At 40.7% G+C, this 26,850-nt stretch overlaps 1 protein-coding gene across 5 annotated transcripts in view, besides 1 other annotated feature; it reads right to left on the bottom strand.

Annotated features, from left to right (window-relative positions):
* Window positions 1-26,850, bottom strand: part of CUL5 (cullin 5) — a 98,864-nt gene that overhangs the window by 60,380 nt on the left and 11,634 nt on the right. For all 5 annotated transcript variants that reach the window (NM_003478.6, XM_017018363.3, XM_005271682.3 and 2 more), the window contains exons 2-3: window positions 13,471-13,580; window positions 1,013-1,112 (exon numbers count right to left, since the gene is read on the bottom strand). In NM_003478.6, the coding sequence (NP_003469.2) occupies window positions 1,013-1,112; window positions 13,471-13,580 (210 nt within the window). The remainder of the gene's footprint in view (window positions 1-1,012; window positions 1,113-13,470; window positions 13,581-26,850) is intronic.
* Window positions 21,362-21,461: an enhancer, noted in NCBI's record as "active region_5480". NCBI's record gives its function as "activates an Ori minimal core promoter by ATAC-STARR-seq in GM12878 lymphoblastoid cells {active_cell/tissue: GM12878}" and the evidence as "EXISTENCE:reporter gene assay evidence [ECO:0000049][PMID:35858748]".

Genomic DNA, 26,850 nt, shown 5'->3' with positions numbered 1-26,850 from the left:
AATAAGAAATTCTAGCCTAGCCTTCTAGCCATCAGACCAGACCTTTTTGTTTTTTTGCCTTTTTTTGAGACAGGGTCTCACTCTGCTGCCCAAGCTGAGTGCAATGGCATGATCACGGCTCACGGCAGCCTCAATCTTCCAGGCTCACACAATTCTCCTGCCTCAGCCTCTCGAGTGGCTGCAACCACAGGTGTGCACCATCATGCTTGGGTAATTTTTTATTTTGTATAGAGGCAAGGTCTCACCATGTTTCCCAGGCTGGTATCAAACTCTTTGACTCAAGCAATTTGCCTGCCTCAGCCTCCCAAAGTGCTGGGATTACAGGCCTGAGCTACTGTGCCCTGTCCCAGACCTCATGTTATAGAAAGGAAAATAATCTCACGTCCTTAGGGTCCTCCTCAAAATGATAAGGGATTTATTCATAAGAGAGGCCGTGGCTGATTTGAAACAACATTACAAGGTGTCACAGAAAAAAAACAAAACAAAACTAACTCTTGCATTACTGATCTAATGCCTAAATGAGCTTTTGATTTTTGATCAAAATTTTTGATTTATACATAACAGCAATGTAAGAGTGCTGAATTTCAGCTCAGCAACAGCAATACAAAGGACAGTCTAAATAAATTACAATTGGAGAAGGATCTGGAATTGAAGAAATTACTGTCAACTTGAGAAGAGGTATTAGTCATGAGAGAAAAAAAAAGATCTGTGTGGACTGATGTGTAGCCAAAAAATAATGGTGGTGGGGACTCCCAAAAAATATAAAAAACTGAATTCGCTATAGCATCTTTTAATTAAATATAATATGTACTCTCTTGACAGAAGTATCACTGTGGGAAAAAAATAATCCAACTAATGACGATCATTTCATTAATAAATTTATTTAACAAATGTGTCAAAAGTCAATGCAATATTTTGAAATTACTTCAAGAAGTTCTACTTTCAAAATAATAAAATATGATATTATCTGAGTAGTTTTAAAACAAGTCTAAAATAAGCATGTAGAACTTACTGCCTGTGCTTGCTTAATAAACTCAAGAATATCTTCTTTTAAAGCCTGATGAATTTTTGCTGGGCCTTTATCATCCCAAAGACAGACTGCATGCACATCCCTGTGAATATAAAGTAGGTAAACAAACATTAATAATGAAACAAGAACTGAACAAAACATCTTAAATTCTATTTCAGTACAGTTTCCATGGGCCATATTAGAACCAAGTAAATGGTGTCTGAATTCACTCATATAAACCAAGTACGCTTGTAATTGCCTCACATACACATTTGTTTCTATTTTTATTTTCTTTAGCCATTGTTTTCCTCTTTAATTCTCTGCTACTTACCACATAAAATTTAGTTATGAAAGCATGTCTCCATCTCCCAATGTCACTGCCCAAAGTTAACTGCTATTAATATTTTCCTGTGCAAAAACAACTACAAATCCTTTTAATTCTTTAACACAATAGATGTATACTATTTTGTCCTTTTTAATTATTTTTAAAAATTTTTTTATTTTTATTTTTTAGAGACAGGGTCTCACTATGTTGCCCAGGCTAGTGTGCACTGGCACAATCACGGCTCACTGCAGCCTTGACCTCCTGGGTTGAGGCGATCCTCCCTCCTCAGCCTTCTAAGAGCTGGTACTATAGGAGCATGCCACCACGCCTAATTTTTTTTTAAATTTTGTTGTAGAAACAGTCTTGCTATGTTGTCCAGGCTGGTCTTGAACTCCTTGTTTCAAGGGATCCTCCTGCCTCAGTCTCCAAAGTGCTGGAATTAAAAGTGTTAGCCACCATGCCCAGCTTTGTTATATACTCTGTCACCCAGGCTGGAGTGCAGTGCCACAACCATAGCTCACTGCAGTCTCAAACTCCTGTGCTCAAGGGATCCCCCTGCCTCAGCCTCCTGAGTAGCTGGGACTACAAGCATGCACCTGTCTAGTTTTTTAAATTTTTGGTAGAGATGGGGTTTTGCTATGTTGCCCAGTCTGGGCTTGAACTCAAATCCTCAAGCAATTCTCCTGCCTCAGCCTCCCAAAATGGTGGGATTGTGGGCCAGCCTATTTTGTCTTTTTAAAAAAATTAGTCACTTAAATCACAATAAAGCATATCTCCTAGCTTCCCCATATATTACCCATTTACACATCAATTACTGTTTCTCCTTTAAACAAAAAAACAAAAACAAAAGCTATCATAAATTGATATACAAAAACTCAGAACTTATAAAGCTGACATAGTTTACAAAAAAGTTCTTCATTATAGAAATATATTTAATACTAGTACAGCATGTTCAGAAAATTAATTTCTTAATTACCTAGTTGTAGGCCAGGGGCAGTGGCTCAAGCCTGTAATCCAAGCACTTGGGGAGGCTGAGGTGGGCAGATCACTTGAGGTCAGGAGTTCAAGACCAGCCTGGCCAACATGGTAAAACCCCCATCTCTACTAATAATACAAAAATTAGCCAGGCGTGGTGGTGTGCACCTGTAATCCCAGCTACTTGGGAGGCTGAAGCATGAGAATCACTTGAACCCGGGAGGCGGAGGTTGCAGTGAGCCAAGATGGCACCAATGAACTCCAGCCTGGGCAACAGAGTGAAACTGTGTCTCAAAAAAATAATAATAATAAATTAAAATATAAAAAAAAAAGTAAAAAAATTACCAAGTTGTAAATCAAATGACCAAGTTGTAAATCAGAGAAACAACGAAAGGACAGGGTCATAGTGAAGAATCATTCATTCAAAAAATGTTCCCCAGTGATTCATTCAATTCATAATGGAGCCTCTAGTATTAAAAAAAGTCAAAGAAATCCAAATAAAACAACTCCAGAATTACAACATGTCAATAATCAAATTGTTTTATATTCTAATTTTTTTTTTTTTGAGACACTGTCTCACTCTGTTGCCCAGTCTGAGGTGTAGTGGCATGAACACAGCTCACTGCAGCCTCAACCTCCTGGGCTCAACCCTGCCTCAGCCTCCCGACTAGCTGGGACCACAGGTATGTGCCACCATGTCTGGCTAATTTTTTATTTTTTGTAGAGACACGGTCTCCCTATGTTGTCTGGACTGATCATGAACCCCTGAACTCAAGTGATCCACCCGCCTCAGCCTCACAAAGGGCCAGCATATAGGCATGAGCCACTGGGGTTGGCCTATATTCCAATTTTTAGAGACACTAGTAGAGCCCAAAGTTTTGTCTCCATATTAATTTGAATGCTTTTTTCACTGGTTCAATTCAGCTTGATAATGGTATCTGGTCCAGTGCCTAGGATGCTATAAGCACACAAATATTTGTTAAATAACAATATAAAAGGTAACACCTGACTGCTTATCATGTGCCAGATACTATTTATTTATTTATTTAGAGATGGAGTTTCACTCTTGTTGCCCAGGCTGAAGTGCAATGGCGCCACCTTGGCTCACTGCAACCTCCGCCTCCTGGGTTCAAATGATTCTCCTGCCTCAGCCTCCCAAGTAGCTGGGATTACAGGCATGCACCACTGGCTAATTTTTTTATTTTCAGTAGAAATGGAGTTTTGCCATGTTGGTCAGGCTGGTCTCGAACTCCTGACCTCAGGTGATCCACCTGCCTTGGCCTCCCAAAGTGCTGGATTACAGGCATGAGGCACCAGCCAGATACTATTCTAAGTTCTTTTAACTTATTTTATCTTCATAGCAATTCTAAAGTACTACTATTTTATCCTTATTTTACAGATGGGGAAATTGAAGGAAAAACAATCCAAGATTATACAGTTAAGTTTATGGTGGAGCCAGGAAATCAGGCTCCAGAACTCACACTAAACCAAATCTACTCTTGAAACCCTCCAATCTATTAAACAAGAAGCTAAAGTGATCTTTACAAAACTCAAGTCACATCATATTACCCCATACTTAAATCCTCTAATGGTTTCCCAATACTCTTAGAATAAATTACAAAATGATTAAATGACTCCTGCATACCTATACAGTCTCATCTAATGACTAAAAGAATCTAGAGTCTAAAAGAAGAGACTGGGCCAGGCATATTGGCTCATGTCTGTAATCCTAGCACTCTTGGAGGCCAAGGCAGGAGGATCATTTGAGGCCAGAAGTTCGAGATTAGCCTAGGCCACATGGCAAGACCACATCTATACAAAAATAAAATAAAATAATTAGTTGGGCATGGTGGCACATGCCTGTAGTCCTAGCTTTTCAGGAGGCTGAGGGAAGATCACTTGAACTCAGAAGTTCAGGGTTACAATGAGCTACAATTGTGCCACTGCACTCCAGCCTGAGCGACAGAGTAATGCCCTGCCTCTAAAAACAATTTTTTTAAAAAAGAAACAGGCCGGGCATGGCGGCTCATGCCTTTAATCCTAGCATTTTGGGAGGCCGAGGTGGACACATCACTTGAGGCCAGGAGTTCGCAACCAACCTGGCCAACATAGCGAAACTCCATCTCTACTAAAAATACAAAAATTAGCCAGGCGTGGTGGTGCGCTCCTGTAGTCCCAGGTACTCAAGAGGCTAAGGCAAGGGAATCGCTTGAACCCTGGAAGCGGAGGTTGCAGTGAGCGAAGACTGCACTTCTGCACTCCAGCCTGGGCAACAGGGCAAGACTCTGTCTCAAAAAAGAAAAAAAAAGAAACTGATAGAAAAATTGATTATAATATGTTTACAACTATTTTATGCATATAAACAAAAGATGGTTTAGGAACTCAAGGACAGGGTAAGGGTGAGTGAGAGGTAGAGAGGAAAAGGAAAGGCTTCCTGGAATAGTTGGTTCCTGAGCTTAATCTCCAAAAATAGGAGTTTGCCAGGCAAAGGTGTACAAAAATAGGAGAGAGGATATTTTATCAAAAAAAATCGACAGTATATAGAATTGTGGGCCAGGTGCAGTGGCTCAAGCTTGCAATCCCAGCTCTTAGGGAAGCCAAAGTTGGTGGATCACTGGAGGCCAGGTGTTCAGGACCAGCCTAGACAACATGGTGAAACCCCGTCTCTACTAAAAAAAATACAAAAATTAGCCTGGTGTGGTGAGGCACGCCTGTTGTCCCAGCAATTTGGGAGGCTGAGGCATGAGAATTGCTTGAACCCGGGGGTGGAGGTTGCAGTGAGCCGAGACTGCACCACTGCGCTGCAGCCTGGACAACAGAGCAAGACTCTGTCTCAAAAAAAAAAAAAAAAAAAGAATTGTGGATGACTAAGGTAACTGCAGTGGACTATAAGCACATCAATGTGGCTACCCTGTAAAGTAAAATGTGAAAATGTGAAGTGATAAGAAAAAAATTGGGCAAACTAACCCCCTTTTATCCCTTATATTCAATCACAGTCCTATTATATTTATCATGCAAATGTCTCTCTAATGTGGACGTTTCCCTCCCATTACCATGATAGTCCCCATCATCTTTTATTTAGTTTACTATAACAAAAGTAACATGTATTAACTGCTTACTATGTGCCAGACATTCCACATTGACTGGTGTTAGTTTAAGAAGCCTTTTAAGAAGCTGATGGGGCCTGGTGCGGTGGTTCACGCCTATAATCCCAGCACTTTGGGAGGCCGAGGCAGGTGGATCACCTGAGGTTAGGAGTTCGAGACCAGCCTGGCCAACATGATGAAACCCCATCTCCACTAAAAATACGAAAAATTAGCCAGGCTTGATGGCAGGTGCCTGTAATCCCAGATACTTGGGAGGCTGAGGCAGGAGAATCGCTTGAACTCAGGAGGCAGAGGTTGCAGTGAGCCGAGATCACGCTACTGCACTCCAGCCTAGGCAACAAGAGCAAAACTTTGTCTAAAAAAGAAAAAAGAAAGAAAAAACCAGGCCGGGTGTGGGCATGGTGGCTCTACCTGTAATCCCAGCATTTTGGGATGCTGAGGTGGGTGGATCACCTGAGGTCAGGAGTTCGCGACCAGTCTGGTCAACATAGTGAAACCCCGTCTCTACCAAAAATACAAAAATTGGCCAGCACGGTGGCAGGCACCTATAATCCCAGCTACTTGGGAGGCTGAGGCAGGAGAATCGCTTGAGCCTGGGAGGCAGAGGTTGCAATGAGCCGAGATCATGCCACTGCACTCCAGCCTGGGCAACAGAGACTCCGTCTCAAAAAAAAAAAAAAGAAAAAACAGAAACAAAAGAAGCTAATGAGATTATTAATATAAGAGATTTACTAAGGGAACACCTGTGAAGGAAAATGGGCTACAGAAAGCTGGGTGTAGGTGTGATCCCTGTAGAGGAGACAAGAAAGGAAGCTTGAGCAGTAAGAATCAGCACAGTTCTAAGAAAGGTTGGTAAGGCTGTTGAAGAATTCTGGAGCCAAAGTCACCCATCAGAGGAGACCTGTGCATCCCAAAAACAAACCTACCTTTGTAACCCTGCCGTACTCAAATCACTTTTGCATATATGTCAGAAAGGTTCAAACAGGACTTGAGTCTCATAGGATAACAGGGAATGGTGTGGTAAAAGGGGGTGGAGTTAGATAATTCCCTAGAAATCTTATCAAAAGAAGAGTCAAATTTAGAAGGGATTTGGTACATCTTCTCCAGCTCTCTTTTCTCAATCACCAGTTACTTCTCTGCCTTGCTGTATCAGGGAAGAATGTTCTCAATGTACTTTTTTTTTTGTTGAGACAGGGTCTCTCCCTGTCACCCTGCCTGGAGTGCAGTGGCATGATAAGCTCGTAACTTAAAACTCCTGTGCTCAAGGATCTTTCTGCCTCAGCCTCCTGAGTAGTTGGGACTACAGGCACGTGCCACCACGACTGGCTAATTTTTTTTTTTTTTTTTTTTTTTTGAGACGGAGTCTCACTCTGTCAGCCAGGCTGGAGTGCAGTGGCACAATCGTGGCTCACTGCAACCTCTGCTTCCCAAGTTCAGGCAATTCTCGTGCCTCAGCTGGCCAAGTAGCTGGGATTACAGGTGCACAACACCACACCCAGCCGATTTTTGTATTTTTAGTAAAGACAGGGTTTTACCATGTTGACCAGGGTGGTATCGAACTCCTGACCTCAGGTGATCCACCTGCCTTCGCCTCCCAAAGTGCTGGGATTACCGGCATGAGCCACCACACCCAGCCTTGGCTAATTTTTTGTAGAAATGGAATCTCACTGTGTTTCCCAGGCTGGTCTCGAACTCTGGCCTCAAGCAATCCTCCAGCCTCGGCCTCCCAAAGTGTTGGGATTACAGGCATGAGCCATCACATCCAGCCCCAAAGTGCTTTTAAAAGGGAACATGCTATAAGGTAAATCTTTTTAAAAACTTTATTAGAAAAATCTAGGAGTTGGGAAATAGGAGAGGGAGGAAATAGAAGCTTCTCAAAAGTCTTAAGGAGGCAGACAGAAGCGACAGGAAAAGCAGCAAGAAGTAAAAACTATTCCAGAGGTTTTGATTTCCTTGTGTAGAAGAGAACAAGAAATAGTGTGACCCTGGTGTGATAAAATGATATGTATTTTGTTTCCAAGTAGTAGGACAATCACATGCTTCTAACTAAGACCAAGAAACACGAAGGCAACCACTAATGGAAATAAACTTTAAAATTAATAAAAACAAAGGGAAAATGAAGAAACAATAACATCAGATCCATGATAAAGTTATAGAAGCAACAAAAGCAAGAATATCAGTCATAACATTAAACCTGAACTGAATAACCAAGCCCATTAAAAAACAGTATGTCTTTCCAAACGACAAATACTATACGATTCCATTTATATGAGTTATCTAGATAAGCAAATTCATAGATGGAAACTAAAATGGAGCTGAGGAGAGGAAGAATGAAGAATTATTGTTTAATGGGTACAGAGCTTCTGTTTCTGATGATGAAGCGTTTGGGGAATGGACTGTGTTGATGTTTGCAAAACATTGTGAATATAATTAATGCCACTGAATTGTACACTTAAAAATGGGTAAAATTGTAAATGGATCTAGAGCAGCAGTTCTCAACTAAGGAAGGTATTGTTCCCCTAGAAGGGTATCTGGAAACATGTGAGAATCTTTGTTTTTATAATGCAAGGTGGGGAGAAAGACACAGAAGGGTGAGGAGAAAGACACAGAAGGAGTGTTCATGACTGGAGTTCATAAGCATGGACAGGCCGGGCACAGTGGCTCATGCCTGTAATCCCAGCACTTTGGGAGGCCAAGGTGAGTGGATCACCTGAGGTCAGCAGTTCAAGACCAGTCTGATCAACATGAAGAAACCCCATCTCTACTAAATACAAAAAATTAGCCAGGTGTGGTGGTGCATGCCTGTAATCCCAGCTACTTGGGAGGCTGAAGCAAGAGAATTGCTTGAACCTGGGAGGCAGAGGTTGCAGTGAGCCGAGATTGCGCCATTGCACTCCAGCCTGGGCAACAAGAATGAAACTCTATCTCAATTTAAAAAGAAAAAAAAAAAAGAGTGAAGGACAGAAGTGATAAATATTGCACAACATGCAGAACAATCTCTTATACCACCCAAAATACCAAGAGTACTTCAATAGAGAAAGAATATAGATTAGGAGAAAAGGGGGGAAAATCTCAGTCAATGTACCTTAACATCAATACATTATTTAGTAACTAAGATTTAGAAAGATATAAGCAACCTAAATGTTAACGATTAACATGGCCAAAATATGGCTAAAATTTACAAGGGTTTTAATTATTGTCAGTCAGAAATCCCTTTACCTAAAAGGACGATACACTGAACTGCTTTAGGTACTCCAAGGAGATGAAAGATCTTTTTTTTTTTTTTTTCTGAGATGGAGTTTTGCTCTTGTTTCCCAGGCTGGAGTGGAATGGTGCAATCTTGGCTCACTGCAACCTCTGCCTGCCGGATTCAAGTGATTATCCTGCCTCAGCCTCCCAAGTAGCTGGAATTACTGAGGCCCACCACCGCACTCAGGTAATTTTTGTATTTTTAGTAGACATGTTGGCCAGGCTGGTCTCGAACTCCTGACCTCAGGTAATCCACCCACCTCAGCCTCCCAAAGTGCTGGGATTACAGGTGTGAGCCACCACACCTGGCCAAAAGATCTTTAAAAACATCATGTTGAGGCCACTAACTGTAGCAAGTAAAAGGTTATTGACGATTTCTACTTTGAAGTCCCCTTTAGTAGGGCTATGCTCCTTTTCTAAGTCAGGAGTACTCAGAGAACAAGCACTATTCTCAATAATAAATCTTATCAACACAGACTGGCAAAAACAACATTAACAACAAAACACCCCACCACACCCAACATATCATTCATAAAATAGTTTAATTGAATAATTTACAAAAAATATATGTATACATGAATGTAATAAAGCTTTAAAAGGCCTCAGCTGTTTCTTACTAAACTTTAATTTCCCAAAGGCAAGAAGTATAAGTTAATTGATAGTATGCAGCAAGGTCCTACATCATTTCGGAAATTAGAATATTTTAAGTGATAAAGAGAGAAAACGATTACAATAGCCCAATGTGTACAGCTTATGCAATTATACATCTATAATTCATTGATACAGCATTTTAATAGTGTGTCTGAGACTGCTATCCTAAGACAGACCCGTGTGCAAGACTGGCCTTTGGCTAGGATGTGGCAATTTGGATTTTTGGGAGGATTCCCATCATTCCTTAATGAGAATGTTTTACATTTCCAAACTGTTTACACAAACAGTGTGACTTACGTTGAACACTTCCTTTTCTTCTGCCAGTCTCGAATTTTGGTATGTGCCAGGCAGAAGCTGCTTACATGACGAGCCCCCAGTAGAAAGTTTGGGTGCTGAGCCCCTAATTAGCTTCCCTGGTAGACAATATTTTATATGTGTTGTCACTGTCAGTTGCTGGAGGATTAAGCTTAATGTGTGACTCCTCTGCGAGAAGACATTTGGAAGTTTGGATTTCGTTTCTCCTGGACTTTGCCACACACACTTTTTCCCTTTGTTGATTTTGCTTTGCTTCCTTCACTGTAATAATTCATAGCCATGAATACAACTACATGGTAAGTCCCATGAATACTCCCAGCAATCACTGAGCCTAGGGGTGACCTTGGGATTGCCAACACAGCTGGTGTTAGAAGTTGGACTCATGAAGAGGGAAGAAGCAGTAGGATGACAAACATTTGCTGCTTGGGTGGCTATAAAATCATTCACAGTATGAAACAGCAGCTGAGCTTCTGTCTGTTGTGACAGGTAAAAATTACCTATGAAATTTGAAAATGATAGCTCTAAACCAGGAAAATTGGCTACCTCATTCCCCTGGCAGTTTCTGGCCATGCTGACTAAAGTGAAGAGAGAAAAAACAGAGTCTGGATGATGTCTCTGTTTTTGTTTTTTTTTTCTTGCCTCCAGGTGGGAAGAGGCCCAAAAGTTCCCAAAGGTGAGTTTTGGGTGGACCAAAAATGTTAAAAGTTTGTATGCTCTCTCCTCTAAATAGGAAAAAATAATAGCAAGATCAGAGCCCAGGGCTGGAGCAAAGCTTTAGATAAACTAGGGGAGAAACAGGAGTGGGGAGAGTGAACCACTCCAGCTGTTTCTTCAGACTAGCTGCTGCTGCCTGCAGTTCCTCCCTACACCTTGCATTCCAGTCAGGATTTCCCAGCAGCTGTAATGTGTTACTCTTATAAACACTGAATTTACTGCTGGGGGTTGATTAAATTTAAAATAAGGAATAAGGATGGCTGGGCACCGTGGCTCACGCCTGTAATCCCAACACTTTGGGAGGCCAAGGTGGGCAGGTAACTTTGAGGTCAAGAGTTCGAGACCATCCCGGCCAACATGGTGAAAACCTGTCTCTAATGAAAATACAAAAATTAGCCTGGCACAGTGGTGGGTACCTGTAGTCCCAGCTACTCAAGAGGCAAGGCAGGAGTATCACTTGAACCTGGGAGGTGGAGGTTGCAGTGAGCTGAGATTGTGCCACTGCATTCCAGCCTGGGCAACAAAGCAAGACTCTGTCTCAATAATAAATAAATAAATTTAAAGTAAAGTGGGGGGTTGAAAGATGACTTTGTACTTTGCAGCTATTGCATCTAGATGTATAATCAAAACTGACATAATATGTAATATGCTGCTAGTCATTTCATAAATGCTAGAGGGATTGTCCCAATCAGGAAGAGTTAGTGAGACAAAATTTCTTGCTTTTTTCTGCTGAAGGGACTGGAATTTAAACTCTCTGAGTATTGGGAGCAGAATAAATCTCCACAATGGATGATATTTACTATGACTTTTTTAACTACTGATGACCCTGGAAAAAGAGAGACAACATGAAAACAAACGAAATCTCCAGATGGAAGAAATACACTTTTGGAATTTTAAATGCAGTTTTTCATTGCTATTGAATTCTTGTGAAATTAGATGTCTGACCCTTAGAAGCTGATGATTTTCCAGCCTGATGTGCATATTTTTGAGCAGATCAAGTTGGATCCTAAGACAAGGTAAAAAGGACTTAGGACAGTCTCGCTGATCACTCGGACTTGAAATATGGCTGCGAGCCTGCAGTATCTTGGCTTTACTGCTGCCAAAGACAAGACACTAACTGTTTTGGAATCCTGAAATCACAGATCTCAATTACCTGGATCTGAGGCTAGGCTGAAACCTGACACTCTGCTACTGGGCTATTTCAACCTCAACACAAGCTGTGCTGAACCAAAAGCAGGCATATACTCAATAAACAGGACTTTGCCTCAATTTTTTTTTTTTTTTGAGACAAGGTCTTGCTGTCACCCAGCCTGGAGTGTAGTGGCACAGTCACGGCTTGCTGCAGCCTCAATGCAGCAAGCAATCTGCTTGAGGGCTCAAGCAATCCTCCCACCTCAGCTCCCAATTAGATGGGACTACAGGCATGTGCCACCACACCCAGATAATTTTTTTTTTTTTTTTTAAGAGACAGGGTCTCACACTATGTTGCCCAGGCTGGTCTTGAACTCCTGGGCTCAAGCGATCACCCTGTCTTGGCCTCCCAAAGTTCTGGGATTACAGGCGTAAGCCACTTTGTCTGGCCGTCAAAGATTACTGAATATTTAAAAGATATCCTCCTGTGGAGCCAGAAACTATGAAAACATCATGGATTCTGGCTGGACCACCTCAACCACTCACAGATAACCAAAGAAAAAGGCTTATTCTCTGATGGGACTATCCAAAATCAAGCTGCTGATTGGTCTTATGTATCTGATATGGAGATTAACAGTATTCCCAACTGGTGGTTCCTACCAAAAGCTGTAGTTGGGAGGGGGCACATCACAAAGAGTGTAGCCCCTTCGCCCACTTCTTACAGATTAGATTTTGACCCCTTCTTGAGATGTCTCACTGCTACTGACTTGTGTTTGCCTTTCTGGATTGGTTACAGTTTGCAACAACAGATTTAATAACCTGACTCTAGTTCTCTCTTTCCTGTCACCCCTCCTGGTACACACACACCTCAGTAAGTCAGTCTGGTTATTAAATGCAGCTGTCCCCAGAAAGGAACTGATGTTTTCTAGGCTACCCACTAGATAAATGATCAGGACAAAAGGGGTGGGAGATAACATAAGCCCATTTTGAAAAGTTTTAAAAATTCAGGATTTCATCCTGACCAATTCCTAAATATAATATGTCTTTCTAATTAAGTTGTCTAAAAATGTTTTTTAGTGAAAAAGACTTTTGTCCCTCATGCAGGTCTGGATGATTGAGAAGACATGAAATTTTCATTACTGAAAGGGATACACTGATTTTATTAGGAAGAAAAAACAAAACACAGCAGCTGGGAAGAGACAGCGGAGGAGGAGGACATTAATGATTTTTGCTTTTCACAACTAGTCCTGAAAGCTTTCCCCCTTTTCCTAAAGGAAATCTCTCAGGGTTCCCTTTCCAAGCTGCCATGAGTCCTTTTAATTCAACCTGACTGCTGAACTTACAATCATACCTAACAGCACCAACTACCAGCACCCCTGAGACTGCATCCCCTAGAAATGCCTGCTTGTAAGATTAGCCTTTGGCTGGCATCTGAGAACTTGAATGGTCAACAGTTTCCTACACTTTCCTGAAATAACAGTGGCTCACTGTACCTAAACTGTTTATATAAACAATATGGTTTACACTGATTTTGGTACATGTTGAGAGAGACTGCCTATGTGACCAGCCCCCATAAAAATCCTGAGTACTGAGTCTCCAATAAGCTTCTCTGGTAGACAACATATCACACGCTGTCAATCATTGCTGGAAAAATTAAGTGTGTCCTGTGTGACTCCCCTGGGAAAGGACTCTTCTTGGAAGCATGTGCTTGTTTTTTCCTGCACTTCACCCCATGTACCTTTTCCCTTTGCTGATTTTGCTTTGGATCCCTTCACTGTAATGACTCAAAGCTGTGAGTATGATTGTATGTTCAGTCCTGTGAGCCCCCTAGCAAATCATCATACCTGGGAGAGGTCTTGGAGACCCTCAATGTAACTAGTAATACTTTTTAATAGGTAAACAGATAAACTTAGAGTTACACATTCCATTTGGGTATGGAAAGACATCACTAAAATTTCCTTTATGCTAGCAAACAGAATTAGTGGGGTACTTACGAAAACAGATCAAACCACTGCTGTTTTGTAACAGATTCCTGGCGTAAAAGCTTCAAAACAATCGGGCGCATAAAATCCCATTTGTCTTCAAACTGAAGAGAACCTTTATTCTTGAAAAAAAAAAAGATAAAAGGGAGTTTAATTTAAATGCAGTTAAATAAAAAGTATCCTGTAATTTTTATGAGACAGCTAGAGAAATGAAGGGCTCAAATTTAAATGAACCAGTTTTCCATAATGGAATCCCTACAGGCTTAATCCGTTATTGAGGAATCACAGGAAGACAATCATAAAAGAGAAAAATTGTACAAATGTGTTTAGTGAAGAATTTGGCCTTGTCCAAGGAGACAGTCTGGTCTTTCTTCTTGGCTTCTAGTAGATAATCTCTGGACACTTAGAAAGTTACGTCTAAAAAGTATGTCTTTGGGAGGCCTTGGGTCATACTGGATTGGCTAATAATGCAATTCAGGGAGGGGACTGTCCACACCTATATAATCCTATGTAGAGGCTCACCAACTGGGAAGACGAACAATACAACTTGAGATACGGGTTTGGGGTCACAGGGGGTCACTCAACACGGAGACTGAAATCCCTGTGAGCAAGTAATCAATCACACCTATGTGAATAAGCTCCATCAAAACTCAACAGTAAAGGTTGGGTGAGCTTCCCTATTTGATGGTACTCGTGCATACTGTCATACATTGATGCCGGGAGAGAAATGTGTCCTGACCACATGGGGAGAGGGCAAGATAAGCTCGCATTTGGAACTCTCCTAAACTTAGCCCTATGAGTCTCTTCCTTTGGCTGATTTTATCTGAATCCTTTCCCTATAACAAATCATAACTATGGGTACAACAGCTTTCACTAAATGCTATGAGCCTTTCTAATGAATTATCAAACCTGAGAGTGGTTTTGGGAATCCCCCAAGCTTACAGTTGGTGTCAGAAGTGAGAATAGTCTTATATGGAGACTGTATCATCTAATTTTGTAGTTGTCCTAAACTCACAAAAAGTATATTGGAAATCTATGTAAACTCTGAAAACTGAGGAGAAAAAAAAAACAGAAAAATACTCATCTCCTTTTATAATGCTAACAAAAAACCCTGACACTGAACTGCTGAGAAAAGCGTAAGAAATGGAAACTCCAGGCCAATCTTACCAGAGAACAAAGATGCAAAAATCTAAATAAATATTATCAAATCAAACAAGTGTCATATCAAAACAATCAGACCTCATAATCATACAGTTTATCTCTGGAATGTAAAAGTAGTGCAATATTAGGAAAAATAATGATCAATTACATTGCCAAAAACAGAGAGAGAGAGAGAGAGAGACCCCATATGTGTTAGTCATTAGTACTCCTTTTCAAGTTAAATGTGACCATGTGATTTGTTTTTTGTTTGTTTTTAAGACAGGGTCTTGCTCTGTCACCCAGGCTGGAGGGCAGTGGAGTGATCATAGCTAACTGTAGCCTTGATCCCCTGGGCTCAAGCAATTCTCCTGCCTGATCCTCCCAAGTAGCTGGGACTACACGTGCGCACCACCATGCCCAGCTAATTGTTGTATTTTTTTGTAGAGATGGGGTCTTGTTATATTTCCCAGGCTGGTCTTGAACTCCTGGGCTCAACTGATGCACTCACCTGAGTCTCCCAAAATGCTGAGGTTATAGCAGTAAGCCACTGAACTAGGACCATCTGGTTTGTTTTGGCCAGTAAATTTCAACAAAAGTCACGATTTTCTTTAACTTTTAAGTTTGGGGTACATGTGTAGGATGTGCAGGTTTGTTACAAAGGTAAACTTGTGTCATGGGGATTTGTTGTACAGATTATTTCATTATCCAGGATTAAGCAATTAGTTATTTTTCCTGATCCTCTCCCTCCTCCCACCCTTCACCCTCTGGTAGGCCCCAGTGTGTGTTGTTCCCCTTTATGTGTTCATGTGTTCTCATCATTTAGCTCCCACTTATAAGTGAGAACATGCAATATTTGGTTTTCTGTTCCTGCATTAGTTTGCTAAGGAAAATGGCCTCCAGCTCCATCCATGTCCCTGCAAAGGACATGATCTTGTTCTTTTTTATGGCTGCATAGTATTCCATGGTGTATATGTACCACATTTTCTTTATCCAGTCTATCATTGATGGGCATTGGGGGTGATTTCACGTCTTTGTTAGAGTGAACAGTGCTGTGATGAACATATGTGTGCATGTGTCTTTATACGACAGCACTGTAGTAACCAAAAAACATCATGGTACTGATATAAGAACATATACAAAGACCAATGGAACAGAATAGAGCCCAGAAATAAGACCACACACCTACAACTATCTGATCTTCAACAAACCTGACAAAAGCAAAAGAGAAAGGACTCCCTGTTCAATAAATGGTGCTGGGATAACTGGCTAGCCATATGCAGAAAAGTAAAACCAGACCCCTTTCTTATACCATATGCAAAAATTAACTCAAGATGGATTAAAGACTTAAATGTAAAACCTAACTTTCTAGTACACCAGCACCAAACACCCTATGAAACTCATGATTTTTTTTTTTTTTTTGAGACAGAGTCTCGTTCTGTTGCCCAGGCTGGAGTGCAGTGGCATAATCTTGGCTCACTATAGCCTCTACCTCCCAGGGTCAGGTGATTTTCATGCCTCAGCCTCCGAGTAGCTGAGATTAGACACGCACCACCACACCTGGCTAATTTTTGTATTTTCAGTAGAGACGGGGTTTCGCCATGTTGCCCAGGCTGGTCTCGAACTCCTGGATTCATATGATCCACCCTCCTCAGCCTTCCAAAGTGCTAGAATTACAGGCATGAGCCACCAGGCCCAGACTCATGATTATTTTTCAGTTATACAAATCTGTTGATATTGCTCAGGTTAAGAACCTGAGATGCATACAGTGATTGTATGGAATATGCAAACTCCCTGAAATTATAACACTGAAACAGTTTGTCAACATATGATCTGACAACAACCTACGTGAAAATCATCTGAGGTGGTGATTACACATACAGATTCCTAAAACCTACCTCAGGCCTACTGGATCGGAATCTCTTGAAGTTAGTCCACAATCTGCATGTTTATCAAATTCATGATAAAATTACATAAAAATAATGTTAGATGGTCTATGACCCAAACTAGGTTAAGAACCACAAATTAACATCATACTCTTATAAATCCTGCTTATATTCACGAACATAGTTCATCCTAAAAGTTAATATACTGTCTTGCTCCAGATGCCTGCTTCTATCACACTGTATTCTTTTTTCTTTTTGTTTTTGAGACAGAGTTTCACTCTTGTTGCCCAAGCTGGAGCGCGGTGGCACGATCTCAGCTCACCGCAACCTCCGCCTCCCGGGTTCAAGCGATTCTCCTGCCTCAGCTTCCCGAGTAACTGGGATTAAAGGCATGCGCCACCAAGCCTGGCTAATTTTGTATTTTTTGTAGAGACGGGGTTTCTCTGTGTTCATCAGGCTGGTCTCAAACTCCCGACCTCAGGTGATCTGCCCACGTCAGCCTCCCAAAGTGCTAGGATTACAGGCGTGAGCCACCGCACCCAGCCACTGTATTCTTATCATAAGGACCCATGGGAGATATCCACTAAAAACTTAGTACTGGGATTAGCTACGCTTCTCTCCTGAACAACTAGTTTCTTTTTACCTTATGGACTTAAATGAATCACGTAAGTAACTTCGCACTCCTCTTAGTGTTGGCTACTGGGAAATTCAGAGTCAGAATTGTGATGCTGCGGCATATACTTTGTACAATAACTTTATGCCTGGCCTCACATTACTTTTTCTACTTTTTATTATTTTCCTGTAACTCTCATTTTCTTCTTTTATTCTTCCCTATGAGGAAGAGGTGTGCAAATAAACAAATATGAAAGAACCATAGAAAGAACACTTTTCTTGACTGACATGGAAAAAAGAATACCTTCTTAACAAGAGGATACTTTCTAATTTCAATTAAGTCTATTTCCACAAGCACTTTTGCTAATTTATAAAATTAAATATAGTGTAAGTCCTGCAATTAAAAATAAAAGGTGCAGAGTACCAGAGTAGACAGGTACTGGAGATAAATTAAACACTGGTTAGGCTCTGAAATCTCCTAATAGACATTGTTAAGTACCAGGAAACATATTTTTGCTCTCCTTTTTGATGGAACACATAATAAACACGTTTCCCTAATACTCAATTTTAAAAGGAATTTAATAATTAATTGTTTTCTATTAAACTTTTATAATAGATTCCAAAAATGATGCTCAAGTAGTTCCTTGACCTATTCTCTATTAAACTGAAGAGCATATCATTAAATCATAACTAAGTGGCAGGACACCAAATCCACTATCTACAAAACAGAATGCCTTATTAATAAGAAAAAGAATCTTCAGACTATGAACCTTGATTTATGTACGTTTTCACTGACTGACTGAAGGCTGCCTCATCTCTATTAACTTGCTACAAAGCCTCTTGAATTCTTTCATTACTATTCAGAATAGCAAATAAGCTGGACTCAACAGTTGCTAGTAGGTCTACAATTCTCTCATTCACTGGCTCTTCAGAGAACTACAACATTTGCCATACTCCTGCCCCTCTATCCTTCACTCCTTACAGCACAACTAATCCCTTCACAGGCACTCTTCTTCTCACACAAATGGGCCGTGGGGAAGCCAACAGGGAGTTGACAATGGGGGAATACCTGGAAAAAGGTATTCTATCCTTCACTCCTTACAGCACAACTAATCCCTTCACAGGCACTCTTCTTCTCACACAAATGGGCCGTGGGGAAGCCAACAGGGAGTTGACAATGGGGGAATACCTGGAAAAAGGGTATTCTAGGCAGAGAAAGCAGCCAATGCAAAGAACATAAGATAGAAACATGCTTAATGTATTCAAGGTAGAGCAAAGTAAACAAAGTGGAGAGAGCAGATAAGGTCATAGAAGTAACTTAGCTTACTGGATCTTACTGAGCTGGATCTTGTAGGACCCTGAAGGCCATTATAAAGACTTTGGTTTCTACTATAAGTGAGATGAAGAGCCATTAAAAGATTCTGAGCAAGAAGTGTCATAATCTTTTTTATTTTTTATTTTTTTTGAGATGGAGTCTTACTCTACTGCCCAGGCTGGAGTACAATGGGGCGATCTCGGCTCACTGCAACCTCTGCCTCCTGGGTTCAAGCAATTCTCCTGCCCTAGCTGGGATTACAGGTGTGCACCACCACGCTCAGCTAATTTTTGTATTTTAGTAGAGACGGGGTTTCACCATGTCGGCCAGGCTGGTCTCTAACTCGTGACCTTGTGATCCGCCCGCTTCGGCCTCCGAAAGTGCTGTGATTACAGGTGTGATCCACCGCACCTGGCCTGAAGTGTCATAATCTTATTTACATTTTAAAATCTCCCTCATTACTATGTTGAGAATATATTATAAGGGGCAAGGGTTAAAACTGGGTGTAGGATTAGGAAGCACTGATGGTGACTTGGACTGAGGTGATAGCAATGGAGGTAGGAGGTATGAGAAGTGGTTCAATTTTAGATGCCCAAAAGGTGGTACTAACAGGACTTCCTAACAGTAAGCATCTGAGATATGAGAAAATGGGAGTAAAGCATGACTTTAAGGCTTTTGTCCAGTAAGTGTGGCACTACCATCAACTAGAATAAAAGAAGATTTGACAGGCTTATTAAGGAAAGCTTGTGAGACTGGTTTTAGATGTATTACATTTAACATATCTATTATACATTCATATGAAAATGTTGAATAGGCAGTCCAATATGGAAATCTAGAATTTAAAAGGCCTATCAGAAAATAAAAACTTGAAGTCATCAGAATACAGATGGGTTTTAAAACCTGTTATTGGATGAGATCACTGTGAGAGAAGTGATACATAAAGATGGAGACCCAAGCCTGAGGTTTTAGATATCCAACATTAAGAGGCGGAGAGAGGAGTAAGAACTAGCAAAGGAGACAAAGAGAGCAACCAGAGCACAGGTGGCAAGAAAACCAAGAGTATGGTATTCTGGACAAAAAGTAAATAAAGTGTGTCAGAAAGACAGAATAATCAATTTTAAGAATTTCTCCTGACAGATCAGGTAAGATAACCACTGAAACAGCAATATGGAAGTTACTGAAACTTTGTCCACAGAAGTTTTTGCAGAGTAGTAAGGACAAATACCAGATTAGAGTGGAATGAAGAGTGGAATTAAGAGAAACGAGGAGCCAGGCGCAATAGTTCATGCTTGTAATCCCAACACTGGGAGGCTGAGGCGGGCGGGTCACTTGAGCCCAGGAGTTCGAGACCAGCCTGGGCAACATGGAAAAAGCCTGTCTCTACTAAAAATACAAAAAATTTGGCTGGGCACGGTGGCTCACACATGTAATCCCAGCACTTTGGGAGGCCGGGGTGGGTGGATGACTTGACATCAGGAGTTCGAGACCAGCCTGACCTACATGGTGAAACCCTGTCTCTACTGAAAATACAAAAATCAGCTGGGTGTGGTGGTAGGCCCCAGTAATCCCGGCTACTCAGGAGGCTGAGGTGGGAGAATTGCTTGAACCTGGGAGGCGGAGTTTGCAGTGAGCCAAGATTGTGCCACTGCACTCCAGCCTGGACAGCAGGGGGAGACTGTCTCAAAGAAAAAAAAAAAAAATTAGCTGGGCATGGTGGCGCCTATAATCCCAGCTACTAAGGCCTGGAGGCGGAGGTTGCAGTGAGCCATGATGGCGCCACTGCACTCCAGCCTAGGCGACAGCGACAGTGAGACCCTATCTCAAAAAACAAATAGTAAATAAAAACAAAAATAAATAAGAAGAAAACTAGAAAGAGTACAGACAACCCTTCACAATTTTTCCTGTATAAGAGAGTAAAGAAATGGCATGGTAATTGATAGGGTGAGAGGAAGTGAAAAAATAATAATTTTTTTTTTTTTTTTTTTGAGACGGAGTCTCACTCTGTCTTTCAGGCTGGAGTGCAGTGGCGTGATCTCTGCTCACTGCAACCTCCGCCTCCCAAGTTCAAGTGGTTTTCCTGCCTCAGCCTCCCGAGTAGCTGGGAATACAGGTGCCCGCCACCATGCCCAGCCAATTTTTCTATTTTTAGTAGAGATGGGGTTTCGCCACATTGGCCAGGGTGGTCTCGAACTCCTGACCTCGTGATCCGCCCACCTCAGCCTCCCAAAGTGCTGGGATTACAAACGTGAGCCACTGCGCCTGGCCAAATAATTTTTTAAAGCTAGGATACAGTATGATTGTATGCTGACAGGAACATTCCAGGATATGAAATGTTGATGATGTGGGGAAAGGGAGAGAAACTGCTAGTGAATTTAAATTGCACTGGATAGGCAAGAGGGAATGGGATCTAGCGCATATGTGGAGGAAGTGACTACAGGCTAAGAGGAGAAGGCAAAAGAATGTACATGTAGGTGCTGGTACAAGGATAGATGTCGTACGACTCTGAGAAGTTCATATTTTATTGCTTTAATTTCCCAGTGATGTGGAAATAACGACAATGTCTGAGAAGATCGGGGAGGAAATGTTAGAATGTTGACAGAAAAGATGTGAAAAATACATCTAGGAAAGTGGAAGAATAAGTGACTCTGGAAATGCAGTATGACTGGCCTCATTGTGGTCATGGATTTAAGGTGCAAATAGCACGGTTGTGTCTTTTTCTCGAGTGACATTCAGCTGCACAGGTACTGGCACTGAAAAGTGAAGAGACAGATTTAACCAGGGTTGTACACTTTTCCCAAGCAGAACAAGACAGGGGCAAGGAAGCAAAAAGTGTATTGAAGGGAACAACTATAATGATTGAGAAGAGAATTTATGTTGGGTAAGGCGGAGAAAATGGACTTCAAGGTGAAAAGAGAAAGAGACTTCTGCTTCCCATCATGACAGAATAACAGGAACCAGATTTTCCCTCCTGCCTAAACAAACTAGAAAACCAAAAGCAGTGCAGGACAGCGCTTCCTGAGAAAAGAAAAACAAATGAGGTGAGCGCTACAAATGTCCAAACATACTGCCTAGAGAGTGTCTCCAGGCCTCATCACAAGGAGGGGAAACCCAAACAGCCGCTAGGGGTTTCACTACATTTAAGAGGCAGAGTTCAGAGTTTGAAAAGGCTGAGGTGACTAGAATTTGTGGCATCAAGGGAGCTCTGGGTATCTATACAGAAGGTCCCTGAGGCCTGTGGCTGAGTACTAACCTGTACCTGGGTGTGAGAAAACTGTAAGAGACTGGGGAAAGAACCATTAGGAAGGAATGGGAATGGGCAGAACAATCAGCAGAGTGCACACAGGGCCAGAAACAGTTAGTGTTGCTACCAGCCAGAGTGGAAACACCCTTTAAAGTGCCAGGCATTGGGTAGAGTCCACAGAAAGTTATTGAGTCTATAGTGGAGCCAAAGTAGCCCTACCCCGAGTGATATTCTGGACACACTCTAACGAAACTTAAAGGTAAGCTTCAAAAGGATCAAACTGATTCCAAGTTACCTAACTGCATCACAGCCAAATCCAAAACTATTTAGAGAAAAATTTTAAAATCAAGCCCCTAAAACATATACTCACAATGTCTGACATCCAGTTAAAAACTACCAAGCATGCAAAGAAACAGGAAAATATAAACTATCACCAAGACAAAAAAAATCACCAAAAGAAGCTGACCCAGAAATGACACAGGTGTTACATTCAGTAAACAAGGACATTAAGTCAGCTACTATACATATTCTATATGACCAAAAAGGTATGGGATGGCATGAACATCATAGAAATATTTTTTAAATGAGTATCAGTAAGCTGTGGAACATCAAATGACCTAACGTACACATAATTGGAATCTTGATGTAAGGGTGTAGAGAGTATTTGAAGAAAAATGCAAAAATGTTTTCTAATTTGATAAAAACTATAAACCACAGATATAAGACATTAAACAATGAGGTAGCAGAGTCACTGAACTGAAGGCTTTAGTAGTGGAGGTGGACTGTTGGAATAAAAGCACTAGAGAGAGTCAGAAAGACAGGGTGGTAACAGGTAATCAAGTAGGATGCTTGAAATTGAGATTATGGAAGGATGGAATTTAGCAAAAATTTCTCATTTCTACTGTCTTTGTTTAATCATTCCACTCCAAGATTTTCTACTATTTTTTTTTATTGCAAATATATGGCATTTCACTAATTGGGGATTATAAAGGCCAACAAATTTTGTAATGTGGTATCTGTTGTACAAAAGACTTCTTTTGATTTTCCTTACATTTCCACGAATGGTTTGAATATCTGACATCTGTAAATAAATTTTAGTTCAGCATTTGTATCTTCTATTAACTTCACTATAATCTTCAGCGTAGATGTGTAAATCACTGAATCACTGTGATTATTTTACTTTATAATATCTGACTGTTACATGTTAGGTGCTGTACTGTTCCAAACACTTTACAAGTATGAATTAATCTTCACAACTATCCTATGTGTTCAGTGATATTATTCCTTTATTATTATTATTATTATTTTTTGAGACAAGATTTTGCTCTGTTGCCTAGGCAAGAGTGCAGTGGCATAATCATAGCTCACTGCATGTTCAAACTCTTGGCCTCAAGTGATCAAGTGGCCCTCCTGCCTCAGCCTCCCAAACTGCTAGGATTACAGGCATGATCACTGTGCCTGGCCTATTCCCATTTTATGCACACTGTACAACCTGAGATTAAGTTAGATTATTTGTCAAAAATTATAGGCAGTAAGTGGCAGGGCAGGAAATCAAATCCAAGCAGTTTAGCTCTGTTAAAGCCACATTCTTAATTAACTATTCTCTGGTCCTTTCCTGGATAAGGAATGAATGGGCTTCTAATCCATGGGCCAGATCCAGCCCTTGGCTTAATTTCATCAGGCTTAGAGAGTAAACTGCAAAGATCTATGATTATAAAAATTTAGTGACAATTATCTAGAAACCATACGGCGGAAACATCACTACGTAAAAGACATTTCTTTTCAAACATGGTGGAGGAGGAGGAAGAGGACACTGTTTTCCAAGAAGTTAAATATCTCTTTCCACTGAAATAAAAAATTTCATACCACACTCTGTTTAAACTTTTAGGTTCCTTTTATAAAAGAAAAAAATTTCAAACAAATTCTAGCAATACTTGTATTTTTTGAAACCCAAACAAATAATTTTAAGGAAAAAGCAAGAATAATAAAACTGACAGAAGAGTTTAAACTTATTTTGGGGAGCTTGTCATTTATTACATTTATTCATTGAACAAACATCTGAGACTCTACTGTGCATTGGGGCACATAAATGAAAAGTCCTCAAGCAATTCACATTCTAGTATAGTGTTCCTTAAACTGTAGTACATGGACTCCCGAAGGGTCCCAGGATATATTCTTTGTTTTTTTTCTTTTTTCAAACAACAACTTCAACCAGACACCCAGGATACATTCTTAAGACTCAATCTATAAAAGGAATTTTAAAATTTTGTTTTCGTTTTTAAAAATCTAACAAAATATTAATACAAGTAGAAATCTGAACTACTCATATGACCTTAAAACCAAGCATTAACCATAAAGGGAAAAAAATGTATAAATTGCACTGTATTAAAATTAACTTTAGCCATTAAAAGACACCATTCAGGGAGTGAAAAGGCAGCCCACAGAGTGGAGAAGATACTGCGTTTTTTTTGTTTGTTTTGTTTTTGATACAGAGTTTTGTTTGTTGCCCAGGCTGGAGTGCAATGGCAAGATCGTGGCTCACTACAACCTCTGCCTCCCTGGTTCAAGTGATTCTCATTCTCCTGCCTCAGCCTCCCAGGTAGCTGGGATTACAGGCATGTGCCACCATGCCCGGCTATTTTTTTTAGTAGAGGTGGGGTTTCACCATGTTGGTTAGGCTGGTCTCGAACTCCTGACCTCAGGTGATCCACCTGCCTTGGCCTCCCAAAGTGCTAGGATTACAGGCGTGAGCCACCACGCTGGGCCAGGAAAGGATATTTCTAATATGTATATCCAAGAAAGGCTCTCATCCAGAATATGTAAAGAACTAAAAAGTCCATAAGAAAAGCAAAACAACTCAATTTTATAATTGACTTTTTTTTAGAGATGGGGTCTTGCTGTCACCTAGGCTGGAGTGCAGTGGCACCATCACTGCTCACTGTAGTCTTGAACCACCGGCTCAGAGAAAGTTAAAAAATTTATATCTCAAAAGCACACAGCTAAGGCTTCAGGCCTAAATACTGTACCATCATTTGCCCAGACCAAGGAGGGAGGGTGGATTACAGAAGAATAACTTAATTTTTAAAAATGCGTTTGGGTCCTGTGTTAATTGGCTTAGGAAAAAGAAAATGTGTTTGGGCTGGGGGTAAGTGTTATCAGCCAGAAATATAAGATGTTACATAGATCTTTCTAGAACATATCACTGCTTAAAAAAAATGCATATCCCCCACTGAAATTTAGGAGTGCATTTTCAAGCAATTAGCGTATCTGTAACAATCCCACTTTACTAGGTCATGAGTAAAGGAGCAGATATATAATGGTGTAGAAATACAGTATTTGTTATCATGTTAAAAAATAAAAATGTTTAAACACAAGAATGTAAACAAAAATAGAAAAATCCACTGGCTTGCAAAATGATTCAATAGAATCATTTTTAAATAATTCACTTACTTTACAACAAAATAATACAAATGTTGACCTACTGGTTCGCCCCGAAAACACCCAGAAATCCCTACATAACGCCTGGGACAAAACATACCACATCAAATTATAGAAACAATATTATGGCAATATTTTAATGATGTCAAATGTTGCATTTAAAAGAAAACAGAGAGGGCTCATGCCTATAATTCCAGCACGGTGGGAGGATCACTTGAGGCTAGGATTTCAAGACCAGCCTGGGCATCAAAGAAAGACCCCATCTCTAAGAATGGATGGATCGATGGATAGATAGGTAGATAGATACAGATAGATAGATGGGCATGGTGGGGCACACTTGCAGTCCTAGCTACTCCAGAGGCTGAGGCGGGACAACTGCTTGGGCCCAGGAGTTCGAGGCTGCAGTGAGCTATGATCATGCCACTGCATTCCAGCCTGAGGAACAAAGTGAGACCCTGTCTCTGAAAAATAAATAAATAAACTGGGCGGTGTGGCTCATGCCTATAATCCCATTACTGTGGGAGGTCAAGGCAGGACAATCACTTGAGGCCACGAGTTTGAAACTAGCCTGGGCAACATGGTGAGACCCCATCTCTACAAAAACAAAATAAAATAAAATAATAAAAAATAAAATAAAATATTAACTGGGTGTGGTGGTGCACACCAGTAGTCCCAACAGCTACTCCAGAGGTTGAGGCAAGAGCACTGCTTAAGCTCGGGAATTCAAGGCTGCAGTGACCTATGATAATCCCACTGCACTCCAGTCTGAGTGACAGAGTAAGACCCTGTCTCTAAAAAATGAATAAAATTTAAAAATAATACAAGGAAACAAAGAATTTGTTATTATTGCTGTATATCTTGCTACATCTTGCTTAGGACAAAGGTGTAAGAAAAGCTAAGATGAAAAGACAAGCTGAAGGAAGAGCAAGAAATAATGGCATCCATAGAATTAATGGCAATTTTTTTATCACCTTACTTTTACACGCCCATAACATTTTGAACACCACACAACCAGTTTAGTTGTTTTAAGATTTGTGAAGTTCCCGCCATACTGATTGTGGATTAGAGCCATGTGTCACTTAATGACATTCTGAGAAATGCATCGTTAAGCAATTTCATCGTTGTGTGAAAATAACAGCATGTACTTACACAAATCTAATGGTAGAGACTACTTACTATACACTTAGGCTAAATGGTATAGTCTATTATCCTAGGCTACCAACCTATATAGCATGTAACTGTACTGAAGCTGGAGGCAATTAGGACAAAGTGGTAAGAATTTGTGTATCTAAACATAGAAAAGGTACAGTAAAAATACAGTATGAAAGATAAAAAATGGTAGACCTAAATTGGGCACTCACCATGAATGGAGCCTGCAGGACTGGAAGATGCTCTAGGTGAGTCAGTGAGTGAGTAGTGAGTGAATGTGAAGGTCTAGGACATTACTGTACACTTTATAAACACTTAGGCTATGCTAAATTATCCAAAAATATTTTTCTTCAATAATAAATTAATATAAGCTCATTGTAACTTTTTTACTTTAAAAACCTTTCCTCTTTTTGGGAAACTTTGACTTTTTTGTAAATAACACTTATCGTGAAACACAAACACAAGGCCAGGCACAGTGGCTCACGCCTCTAATCCTAGCCCTCTGGGAGGCTGAGGTGCAAAGATCACTTGAGCTCAGGAGTTTGAGACCAGCCTGGGCAACGTGGTGAGACCCTGTCTCTATTTTAAACAAAAAACAAAAAAAAAAAAATCAC

Source organism: Homo sapiens, chromosome 11, assembly GCF_000001405.40.
Source record: "Homo sapiens chromosome 11, GRCh38.p14 Primary Assembly".
Lineage (NCBI taxonomy): Eukaryota > Metazoa > Chordata > Mammalia > Primates > Hominidae > Homo > Homo sapiens.
This window is presented reverse-complemented; position numbering and strand designations above follow the sequence as displayed.